General features: G+C 37.4%; 1 protein-coding gene across 3 annotated transcripts in view; it reads right to left on the reverse strand.

The window, feature by feature from the left end:
• DCBLD2 (discoidin, CUB and LCCL domain containing 2) overlaps nucleotides 1-13,128 on the reverse strand; it is a 105,755-nt gene that overhangs the window by 17,187 nt on the left and 75,440 nt on the right. For all 3 annotated transcript variants that reach the window (XM_011512419.3, NM_080927.4, XM_024453348.2), the window contains 6 exons: nucleotides 12,188-12,239; nucleotides 9,542-9,614; nucleotides 9,101-9,234; nucleotides 7,121-7,161; nucleotides 6,075-6,290; nucleotides 4,642-4,766 (listed from right to left, as the gene is read on the reverse strand). In XM_011512419.3, coding sequence (XP_011510721.1) covers nucleotides 4,642-4,766; nucleotides 6,075-6,290; nucleotides 7,121-7,161; nucleotides 9,101-9,234; nucleotides 9,542-9,614; nucleotides 12,188-12,239 — 641 coding nt within the window. The remainder of the gene's footprint in view (nucleotides 1-4,641; nucleotides 4,767-6,074; nucleotides 6,291-7,120; nucleotides 7,162-9,100; nucleotides 9,235-9,541; nucleotides 9,615-12,187; nucleotides 12,240-13,128) is intronic.

Consider the following 13,128-nt stretch of genomic DNA (forward strand, 5'->3'; position numbering starts at 1 on the left):
GTCATCCAAGGAATGCATTGGCGGGATCATAGCACAATACAGCCTAGAACTCCTGGGCTCAAAAGATCCTCCCACCTCAGCCTCCTGAGTAGCTAGGACTACAGAGGCGCATGCCAACATGTGTGGCAATATTTACTTATTTATTTAGAAAAGAGGTCTCGCTTTGTTGCCCAGGCTAGTGTGCAGTGGCGCAATCTTGGCTCACTGCAACCTCTTCCTCCCAAGTTCAAGCAACTCTCCTGCCTCAGCCTCCTGAGTAGCTGGGATTACAGGTGTGCACCAACACGCCCGGCTAATTTTTGCATTTTTAGTAGAGACAGGGTTTTACCATGTTGACCTCAAGGGATCCACCTGCCTCAGCCTCCCAAAGTGCTGAGATTACAGGAATGAGCCACTGCACCTGGTGATTTTTTATTTTTGTAGAAAGGGGTCTTGCTATGCTGTTCAGGCTGGTCTCAAACTCCTGTCCTCAAGTATACTCACACCTAGACCTCCCCCAAAATGCTGGAATTACAGGTGTGAGCTACCACGCCTGGCCTGTGACTAATTTAATGCTTGTAACTAACTAGCAACAAATGCATTATAAAAATAATCCCTAGGTAAAAATATGAGTTTAGGTGAGTCTCATTCCCTTAACTACTTCAAGCAAATAATGATAGTATCTTACAATGGACCAGCACTTAATTATTTATAAAACATTTTAATGTAACTAATTCAGACAACCCTATGAAATAGGAGGGCACAGGAATCTGTAAGTGGATTGCACAGCTAGTCAATGACAGGGCAGCAACTTGACTCTGGGTCTTCCGACTTAAGTATGGACTCCAATAAGCTAAAAAGAGCCCTGTTTGTTCTCTAGGTCAGATCAACTAGGTAGTTTCTAAAGACCATTAATAAGCATATATTGCCTAAAATCAAAGTGATTTTTTTTCTAATCAGCTAAGATGAGATTAAGTAAATGTTTAACTTCTCAATCAAGCTATTTCCAAGTATTGTGGCTCTATTTCTTCTTGGCTAATTCACTTGGCATTAGACTATAAATCTCGAAAGATGTGTTAATATCCTTCATTTCCTAAAAAGTTTGTTTTGCAGTTACAATAACTTCCATACTAGTGAGCTCCCGTGATTTCCTCAGATATTACTCTGAAATAAAATGAAAGGCAATTATTTTCATTCTTACTATATTAGTGGAACAGGGACGATAACAAATCATTACTTTAACACATAAAAACTATCTTTAAGATATTCCTCTATATTGCTGTCTCAATTTTATAAAAACTGAGTAAAAAAGATTTGCTATAGTCAACCTATGAGCATTTACTGAGAATCCTCATGTACAGAGAAGTATGTGAGGTGTCATGAAGAGAAAATGGATATGGTTGCTACAGTTCCCACCCTCAAGAAACTTAAATTTTATTGATTACCACACATAAATATGGCATAATGTTAGAAAGTGATATATTATGAAAACAAATTGTATATATATATATAAATCCCATTTTCTAAAAACAAAACCAAATGCAGTCTCTGCGTACTCATGCACATGTGCAGGCTCAGAAAAGGGGTAAAATGAATACACCAATTACCCTTGGGTTGGAGGTGATGAGGGAGCAGATGGACTTACATGAGCGGGAAAAGACTGTTAATTCATACAATTCAATGTGAAGATTTGCATTTCTGACCATAAGAGTAACGGATTAGACTTATTGTTCAGCCCTATACGTACCTGAGAAACTGGATAACAGGCTGCCTTGGGCAATAATGACGGAAAGAAGGGAAACAAATAAGGTGAACCCTGCTATTTATTGCCCCAGTACTGTCTATAGAAGAGTTTCCAGGCCACAGTGCAGGGAGAGAGATCCCTAACAGAGCCTGCCGGTCTCACTGAGTTGCAGAGACAGAGCTGAGAGTGGGAGGCCAATAAGGTAGCTAGAATTTGTAGGCAGAGATTAGGAGAGAAGAGAGCTATAAAGATAGAGTGAGTGAGAGAGAGAGAGAGAGACACTTCTAGAATATATAAGGAGTTATCCCTTAAATCTTCAGCTGCATGTAAAGAAATGACCTATGGCCAGTAAAAGAAACACTGGAATGAGTCAGCAGGACAAGTCTCACAGCTCCGTAGATCTGGGAATTCCTTACACTGCCAAGAGGTAGAACAGAGAAACCTCATAATACATGGGATGCTGCAGTGAGTACTTAGAACAGTATTGTCTCAGTGGGGGAGAAAAATAAGAAAACTGAAGGCTGTCCAGGTCCTGCCTAATGAAGTTTAAAAGCAAGCCTTGAAAATATCACATTGTTTCCAGTAGCTTAACTACATTCCAGAATAAAGCTCAAAAATACTTAAGGGAATATTAATAACAAAAAACCCCAGCACCAAACAATGTAACACAATGTCTGGCATCCAATAAAAAAAATTCGGGCAGGTAAAATATGATCCATAATATCAATCAACATAAAAAGACCCATATATGACATAGGATAACATTAGCAGATGAGGATATTAAAAGAGCTATTATATATGCTCCATGTTCCAGAGATAGAGAAAAGCATGAGCATGTAAAGACACACTGGAGACATCTTAAAACTCCCAAACTGAACATCTAGAGATAAAAAATACAGTATCAGAGATAAAAATACATTGGATGGGATTAACAGATTAGACATTTCAGAAGAATAGATTAGTGAACTTGAAGACAAAACAGAAAACTTTCAAACTAAAATACAAAGAGAAAAAGACTGAAAAAAATAAAGAACGGAGCATTGGTGAATGGTAAGATACCTTCAAGGGTCATAATATTCATAAAATTAGAATTGGGGAAGGGAAATATTTGAAAAAAAAAGAACTACAATTTTCTAAATTTGATGCAAATCATAACCTACAGATCCAAAAACCTCAAAGAACCCCACGCAAAAAAAAAAGAAGAAAAATATAAAAAAGCCACATCAATCAAACTGCTTAAAACAAATGATAAAAAGAAAACCTTAAAAGGAGCCACAGAAAAAAAGACATATCACATATTGAGGAACAGAAATAATAGCAGAATTCTTGTCAAAAACAATGCAAGCCAGCAAACAGCAGACAACGTATTTCAATTATTGAAAGGAAAAACCAAAAAAAAAAAAAAACCAAAAAACCACTGATCAACCCAGATTTCTACACTTAGAGAAATTACCTTTCAAAAATGAATGCAACATAGAATCTTTTTCAGAAATATCATTTAATGTTTAGAAGTTTTTATAGTATAAGCCTGAACAATTCTTAACATTCCAAAAATTTAGCTATATTCCACAAGCAAAATAAATGTGATACAAATGAATATGGATGTGGCAGGAGTAAAGAGTAGTCAAGTTTAGGGGCATGAGGTAGAAGATATGTATGGAGACAGTATTGTTATTTTCTTTAACAGGGAGAGGCTCACCAAAGATGAAGTTCATGTGACGCCAAGTAGAAGAGAAGAAAGAGGCCTTGAATAAAAGCAGAGGAGTTAAGATGCATATGAAAGATAATGAGCCCCTGGAGGTTTTTGAACAAAGAGATGAGAAAAGTAGTAATTGAAGACTTTTTAGCAAATCATACATGATAAAAAACAAAAATATATAATCAAAATCAAACTCATAGGAAAGTTTGAAAAAATGTCATCATTGTTTCAGTTCTTTTTTTTCCACTTTGAGACAGAGTCTCCCTCTGTCGCCCAGGCTGGATTGCAGTGGAGTGATCACAGCTCACTGCAGCCTCAACCTCCTGGGTTCAGGTGATTCTCCCACCTCAGCCTCCCAAGAAACTGGGACTACAGGCATGCGCCACCATGCCTGGCTAATTTTCTGTATTTTTAGTGGAGATGGCGTGTTGCCATGTTGCCCAGGCTGGTTTCAAACTCCTGAGCTCAAGCAATCCCAAAGTGCTGTGATTACAGGAGTGAGCCATCATGCCCAGCCCCATAGTTTTGGTACTGATGGGAGACATCTATCTTCCTTAGGCACAAGGACTTCTCCATTTAAAGATCAAAGGGATACACATCTGAATAAGACCCATCTCTGCCTGCTCCCCACCCCTTATCATTTCCTCTGGCTCATTCCAGCATCTTCATAAATTGTTGCTAACTAAAACAAAGATTCCATAATTAGATGCTAGAGCAATTCTTCATGTAAGAAAAAACAGAAGTTTCCCAAGATGAAAGTTGGTGAGATGATCTTCAGATGAATTTTCATCTCTAATATCCTATAATTTAATGCACGTTGGTTTTCAGCTTTTTTCTTTTTTTACCTCTTGCCTACAGAGTAGAAATCTGGGAACAAAGGCTCTCCATCATCTGGTGAATTGAAAAAAGCTTCATAAAAATAAGAAATTACAAGGTCCCTTTTAGACTTTCTTAATAAAGTGTCTAAACAATTCAATTAAAAATGCAATGACAAAAATCAGAAAAGTACTCACCGTTACAATCACCAAAAGGAACCTAGAACTACTGAGAATTTTCTAAAGTCAGTAGAGTAAGGCCAATAACACTACCTAAAATAACCACAAGAGGGTAGTATAAGACATTCTAAACTTCTACATCTCTTTTATACAGGAGAGCTCTGTGACTTGGCAACCACCCATTTAAAAAATGTTTTTTAAAAATACCTTGGTAATCATTTTACCTTATCTTGCTCCACACCAGGCTCTCTGTACACAGTCCATTTCTGCCCATCATCACTGTACAGGATTCTGTAGGCAGACACATAGTAATTGTGCTCCACCATGGTGGATCCAGTGGTTATAATGCCTGGGGAATGAAGAGTTGCTTTCATTAATGCACATGGTCTGATTCCCTAAGTTTGTTCAGCATCAAAGTATAAACACTTGAAATGCACAGCTCGAACATTTCTAATTATGGCTCATTTCCATATCCAAGTGCACGTTTTTGTCATAACAATTACTAAATCCTTGGCCTTATTCCCTTGGAGAGAGAGGAAGGATTATGGGTGGGCATTAATTAAGTAAAGAACTATTCTGTTTTGGTGTCTTGTGTTTATAACGTCGTAAAATAGATTTTGACTACTGGGTAAGATGACTTCCTGGGAATGAACAGATTAAAGATGATTATTGGTATTATTTACAGTACCAAAACAAAATAAATATTTTAACAAAATTAAACCAATCCCAACCAATTATTCCGACCATTTGCTAAGTTCCCCTAAATTAAATTTATACTCTCCACATGTGGAAAATTAATGATCTCATCATTTAAAATGGACTCCTTTAACATAAATTTCTCTTAATGACTGTAGGAGACCGTTATTTTAGATGTCTCAAGACCACTTTACTGAAACACTACCTTAAAAAAAGAGTCTCATTACAATGGAAACAAAAAGCTATTACGAATTAAATACTGTGATGGTTAATACTGAGTGTCAACTTGATTGAAGGATGAAAAGTATTGTTCCCAGGTGTGTCTGTGAGGGTGTTGCTAGAGGAGATTAACATTTGAGTCAGTGGACTAGGACACGCAGACCCACCCTCAATCTGGGTCGGCACCATTTAATCTGCATCAGCACGGCCAGAATAAAAACAGGCAGAAGAAAATGTGAAAAGACTAAACTGGCTTAAGTCTCCCAGCCTACATCTTTCTCCCATGCTGGATGCTTCCTGCCCTTGAACATCAGACTCCAAGTTCTTAGCTTTGGGACTTCTGGACCTTTGACCATAGACTAAAAGCTGCACTGTTGGCTTCCCTACTTTTGAGGTTTTGGGACTCGGAATGGCTTCCTTGCTCCTCAGCTTGCAGATGGCCTACTGTGGGACTTCACTTTGTGATCATGTGAGTCGATACACCTTAATAAACTCCCCTTTATATATACATCTGTCCTATCAGTTGTGTCCTTTTAGAGAACCCTGACCAACACAAATAACTCCTTTTCTCTGCCATGTTTCATAAAATGTGTCTCTAGTAATATTAACATCAGTGAAGAAAATATAAAACCATATAATTACAATTTTAATGCCTTAATTTTCTCTGAAAATCTTAGATGTTACTAGTTTTTCAAATAAAATAAGTGTTACAAATTGCTTTAGAAAATTTTTGTCTCTTAACCTGTTATTTTCTTTTCCTTATTCAAATCTATTTGTAACCACTGGTATTCATCAGTGGCAAAAGCAGCCCAAGGCGGTCCAGGTTTTTTCAGCCTGGCTTTTTTGGGTTTCCAACTGTTCTCTTGCCCTGTGTGGTCAGTCCACTCCAGCACAGATGATGCTGTTATTTGAGGATCCGCGATCACACCAGACTCCATCCCCAGTGTTCCATAACATCCTGAAACAAAGAAAAGACTAAATTTGGTTTCCAGGTATAATTTCAAAATGCATGTAGACCTGCTCACTGAAAACTTTCTATTCCATCTTTAATTAACATACACTACACTAATAATACACTGTAACAGAGAAATTTCAAAACTAGGCAAGTGTTTCTTGGGCATATGTCTTTGTGTATCATTAGGAAACCTACAAACATGCTCATTTATAAGCATGACTGTTAGTTTAATGGAGATACATTATCTTCTCCCTGGGACACTCTTCCCAAATAACTGAGTAACTCACTCCTTTACCTCCTTCAGGTTTTTGGCCTATGTTGCATTCTCCCTGAGGTCTTCCCTGGGAGGAAGGCCCTTCCCAACTTCAATCCAGTCCTCCTTATTTTCCTACATCTTTTATCATATTGTAAACAGTACATTATAAACAGAAATTTATTCATTGCTTATCATCAATCTCTCACTACTAGAATGTAAGCTCCAGGAAGGCAGGAGTTTGTTCACTTTACTCTATCACTCGAACCAGAGCAATGCCTGGCACATAAAGAGAAGGCACTCAGTAAGTATTTTCTGTTGAACGAATTGATTACTTCTTCAGACAAGTTCAAAAGTCATCTTTCTTAAGGAACCTTCCTTGCTTACATGACCATTTCTCTATAAATATAAAACTTTCAATTTGCTCTATTCATTATATTATTAGATAACTATCTTACCTCATAGTGTTATTAAGACAACTACGTGAGAAAGTACAATAAATCAGCAACTGACACAGTGCCTAACAGTGTTCAAAAAATATTATATAAATAAAAAATTATAAAGTCCATAAAAGGCTTACCACTTGTCTTAAATGTAAAAAGACTTGTAGATAAGTGTCCCCTGAAAGAGAGAAGGGTTTTTTTTGGTGATACTCACATAACACATGATGCCCCATATTTAGTGAAACATTTTCTTTTGATTTGGTTCCCCCCACCCAATAAAAGAACCAAGAAGACTGTGTGGCTAAAAATTAGACAACTAATATTGTTCCTAGGAAAAAAGTCTCATTTCTAAGCAGGACAACTTCTGAAATCAGCATAAACAGCTTTCTCTACAAGTATCTAGCACCCAGTTTCATATGTGATTGTGCAAAAGTTCTCTATGTAATCTTTAATATGTACTTCTTTTTCATATGTATTTACTCATTGTTTACTGTCAATCTCTCACTACTTTATTTCATGAAATAAATGGATTCTTAACACTTTTCTGTGGCAAATGCTTTCGATGAAAATACACTAAAAGGTCTAATTCTCAGAGAATGAGGCTCAAGTTTTTTCGGATAAACATGAGAAAAGTTGGGTACTAATAGATTTCTTTTTCTTTTTTTTTTTTTTTTTAGGAGAAATCAACATCTCATGGAAGAAGTTTCAGTGTACACTCCTGCCTTTAGTCCAACATACAAACCATTACAAGAGGATGCAATTTATCCCTGTTTTCTTTTTTAAAGTATGAAAGAGAGAATTCACAAACACTAAATCTTTCTAAAGGTATAACATGGTAAAGGAATGAAAGGGTCTGCATAAAATAATCTAGAAAAAAAAAAAAAAAAAGAAGGGAAGGTAGTTGAATCTATACCAGGGATGGGCAAATGACTGCCCATGCATGGCCTGTTTTGTATGGGCCGTGAGTTAAGAATAAAGAGCTATAAATAAAACAAAAAAAGAATAAGCTGCAGCGACATGTGGCCTGTAAAGCCTAAAATATTTATTAGCTGGATCTTTACAGAACAAATCTGCTGAATCCTGTTGTATACCAATCTGGATATGGATGATGCTTGTGTCTTCTGAATGAAAATTGGCCTAGGACCTCTGAAGAAAAGCTGGTTTCAATTAGGCTTAGTGTTGTCTGAAAGACTGAGCAGATCTAAGAGACAAGATTTATAAAAACAGATTGCTAACACTGCATTTCTATTTAATGTTTCAATTTCTCTTGCTTTTGATGCCTACCCTACGTTTTATAAAACAGTAGAACACTATAGTTACCATGAAAATACATCTTCAAAATATTCTCTTAGAATGAAAGGAAGATTCACAATAATGCTTATGATGTAACACTTTATGTCAAACTTAAATTTATATTTAAAGTATTTCAATTATCTTGAATCCCCATGTGCTATAAGGAACACAGTAGTTAAGCCTTTCAATCTGTAAAATAAATAAGGATTTGGCAACAAACTTCTAGACTCTTATGTAGACTTTTTTTTAACACTTAGAAAAGACAGAAGAAACACATTACTCTTCCAAATGACTACATTTTTGAAGAACAATAAGCTAAAGTAGTACAACACCACCTGTACTCTTCAAAATATGCAGACACTGGCTGGGCACGGTGGGTCACGCCTGTAATCCCAGCACTTTCGGTGGCCGAGGCGGGTGGATCACGAGGTCAGGAGTTCGAGAGCAGCCTGGCCAACATGGTGAAACCCCGCCTCTACTAAAAATACAAAAGTTAGCCAGGCGTGGTGCCACACACCTGTAATCCCAGCTACTTGGGAGGCTGAGACCGGAGAATCGCTTGAAACCAGAATACAGAGGTTGCAGTGAGCCGAGATCACGCCACTGCACTCCAGCCTGGGCAATGAGAGCGAAACTCTGTCTCAAACAAAACAAAACAAAAAAACAGACACTGAGCACACTAATGTGAGTGCTTACTGCCTAAATGTTCTTTCATGAACACCATTAACAGTGATACTGCTGAGATCTAGCTAGTTCTTAGCCCAGTGCTACCCAGAATGCTAATTATATATAGCATATATTTTTTAAATTGCATATATACTTACACCACAGATGTGACGTTGTTAGCCAAAGAACTTTCATAATAGGGGATACCTTTACTAATTACAACACTGATTTGGCCGCCCAACGTGTTTGACACTACTCCTGCATGCACACCAGCCATGCACAATGGCGAGGACTTAAGGAAGGGAAAAGAAAAGATTCATTTTTAATTTTCTCTTAATAATTCATAAACAAGACACTCTACTTCCTGAGAAATCAGTTAATCTAGGCAGTTTCTTCATAAACTTCATAAACAAAAATAGATTATTGGTACTGTAACACAACAGTTTTAGCAGAAGAAAAAGAATAAAACACATATGATTAAAAAATGTCTTAAAAAGGCAAAAGATAAGGATATATGATTAACACACCTCTAACTACTCTGGAGTTCTAAAAAAATAGAGTTATATCACAATTTTCAAATAAGTTTATATCTGGCTTACATCTCTATATCCATGAGGAATTGTTCCAGATATCTCAGCAAAAGGAAGCAGACAACCAGCTGGGCAGTACTTACTGAGAAATGAAAACAAGCAAAAGGTTACATAATGCTGTATTTTACAGGGAAAAAAGCAACCCCCCAAAAATATCACAGACACATTTTTCAGTTCAAGGTGAATACCATAATTTCACTACCCTCAAAGACCCACCACTTCTTTTTTTTGACACGGAGTTTCACTCTTGTCGCCCAGGCTGGAGTGCAATGGCACCTTCTTGGCTCACTGCAACATCTGTCTCCTGGGTCTCAGAGATTTTCCTGGCTCAGCCTCCCGAGTAGCTGGGATTACAGGTGCATACCACCACACCTGGCTAATTTTTGTATTTTTAGTAGAGATGGGGTTTCACCATGTTGGCCAGGCTGGTCTCAAACTCCTGACCTCAGGTGATCCGCCCACCTCGGCCTCCCAAACTGCTGGGATTTCAGGTGTGAATGACTGTGCCCGGCCAGGACCACCAGTTCTAAAAAGCCCTTTCAGACTTTCTTCCATCCATATATATATAATATGTCTTTACTCACACATTTGAAACATTTTTTTGTCTTATTACATACTGCCTTGATTATTTTATTTCATAATGAATGGTAGACATGTTTCTACTATAAAACCTACTCATCAAATTTAAGAGCTAAATGATATTCTATTCTGTGGATATGCCATAATACATTTTACCAACCCTCTATTGATCCAATTTAAGCTGTATTAAAAGAGGTGCATTCATTCACGCTGCTACCCATCCACCCAACACATTTATTTGAGTGTCTATTATGCTGTCTGTTGAGTGTAGGGCAGTACTAGGTACTGGGTTTACAAAAGTCAAACAGACAAATATTGCCCCTGTCCTCACTGAGTTTATATTCCAGTGGTAGAAGACATTAAACCAATACTTACACAAATAATTGATTTTGATTCTGCTATGAAGTCATGCTGAAATAACCGCAAGAAATCTAACTTAATACAAGTAACACAATAATTCAGTAAACTTAATGAATTGCCAGGTAGCACCCTAAGTGCTTTAGGTAATCCATATAAGAACTCTATGGAGGAGATGCTAGTGTTGTCCTCATTTTAGGAAACAGGGAAATTAAGGAACTGTATGCCCATTCACACAGTTAGCAGGTAGCAAATGGGGTCTGGAGTCCATGCTCTTATGCAGGACTCTGTACCGCCCCCAGTCAGGGAATGGGGGTGGCAGGATGGGGCTCTTAGGAAGTGAAGCCTCAGCAGTGAGCTAAGGGGTGTCACTAGAACAAGTGGTGGGAAATGCACATTAGTCAGAGGGATGAGCACAGCATGAGGCAGGATGGCCTAGTGTGTGTCCGGAAGTGGGGACGGCAGTGCAAGTAGGTGCCAGAGAGCAAAACTAAGGTTAGTTAGAGAGAAGACTGGACAGACGGGCAGGTAATGCAGGAGCCTTGTGGGCTATGGTGAAGAGTATGGAATATATTTCTAAGTAAAAATAGGAAGCCAGTAAAGGATTTTGGCAGCTTACATACATAATCTGATTAGTATTTTTAAAAAAGATTATTCTGGCTCCTGGGAAGAAAAGAGATAGCAAGGAATCATGAGTGGAGGCTGGGACACCATTAGGCAATAGTACAGCAGCCCCGGACAGGGATAATGGGAGCTTGGATTTGTTGTGGCAGATCATGGAGCTGGAGAGTGGCGCGAGCGCAGCTGACCCTCTGCCAGGGCTGTCTACCATACACTGATGCTAGGGTTACCCCAGCTAACGTCCCCCTCAAATGCTGAAGAGGGCACCCTTCCCACACAGAACCATTCTTGAAGACAAAATTAAGGTTCTTGGGGGGAAGTGGTAGTAAGTTCGGAAAAGTTAGTAAGATGGCTCTTGAAAGATGAGAATGATCTGCCAAGCAGAGGAGGCAAGTGGTTCCTGGTAAAAGCTCTGTGAGCTCAGAGCACTGTAAATAACTCAAGAGTCATTTCAATATGGAGAACATAAGATGAGACTGGAAAAATGGCCTGAGGACTGCTTGTGAAAGAACGAGAAGACCAGGTTAAGGAAATCTGGACAACTGTTTTTTATCATAATAAGTAGTTTCTCAAGATTTTTATGCAGGGAAATGATCAGATATGTATTTTGGAAACAACTTGGCAGCAGTGTGAATGGCAGCCAGCAAACAGAAATAGGAACTCGATTAGAAGTTGTCTAGGCAAGAGACAAAGGCATAAAGAAGAGAAATAGTAGAAATGGTACTTGAGTAACAACACTGCAGAATTCTATAACAGCCAAAACCATGCTCTTTCAATTTTTTGAAAAAAGATAAATACCTTTTCAACTTTTACTAGGAGTTTTGCTAGATTTTGAAAAGCAACTAGTTCTACTTTCAAAGCATATTAAAATGATACTTTCATTTTGCAGATCTAAATGCTACAATAAAAGCAAAATGTAAACATGCAACTAAATGGCTTTATGCTTTAAGTAAGCTCTAATTTATTGAAGTCTCGGAACAATGATATGTATCACACAATATACATTAACCCTAAGAGTATACAGAATGAAAATGAAGAAGTGAATGAAAAGTAACATTTAAGCAAAAAAAAAAAAAAAAGTCACAAATATAATCATACCTGAACTCAGGTTCCAAAAAATTGGATGCAGTGTCCAAACAAGTAATTAGATCTAGAAAAACAAAAATAAAAAACTGATTCCATTAATATACAGGATTACCTTGCTGAAACTCCAAGTGTCTCAGAATCCCAAACTGTACTACTCTAATTTTCAAAAATCTCAATGGCACTGTCAAAGTGGTACTAAAAACTTTGCCAACTTTTGTTAATCACAATTTCTTTCTGATATTAAGTTTCTTGATTTTTGGAGCAATGTCCCCTCAATACTGTTTACTACATCACCTCAGGAAGTCACATACCATATACACACATATATGTATATGTGTATTTATATATATATATATATATATATATATATATATATATTTAGAACATGCATAGATAAGTAAAATTTATAGCTTTAAAGTGGTTTCTGTAAAATACAGCTACCCACACACAGAAATATTTCTTGGTTATTATATAACTAAAAATGACCCTTTGCTGTTTGCACATAAGGAAAATAATGACAAAGAGAGTTAATTTTATGGCTCTAACTATTAATAACTGCTAATTAAAATCTGGTCCAGAGACAGGACTGGTGCATCAGCACCTTCTGGAAATTTAGTAGAAATTCAAATTCTTGAACTCCATCCAGACTTACAGAATCTCTGGCGGTGGTGCCCAAAAATCTGTTTTAACAAGTCCTCTCAGTAATTTCTTAAGCACACGGAAGCTGCAGTAGCATTGCTCTAAAGAAATAAAACTTCTAAAATTTAACATTTTCTGCCTAGAAACCAATACAGCTGAGCAAGAACTAATCTGCCTCTAATTAAGACCAAGTTCATAGGCTATGTAAAAAGTGGCTTTGGTTAAAAAAAAAGCAAAAAAAACAAAACAAAACACACCATTTCAGTGGCTTCCTTCTCTTAGGTTAGACAGCAAAGCCTTCAACACAGCCTACA

The sequence above is a fragment of the Homo sapiens genome, chromosome 3 (assembly GCF_000001405.40).
Source record: "Homo sapiens chromosome 3, GRCh38.p14 Primary Assembly".
Taxonomy (NCBI): domain Eukaryota; kingdom Metazoa; phylum Chordata; class Mammalia; order Primates; family Hominidae; genus Homo; species Homo sapiens.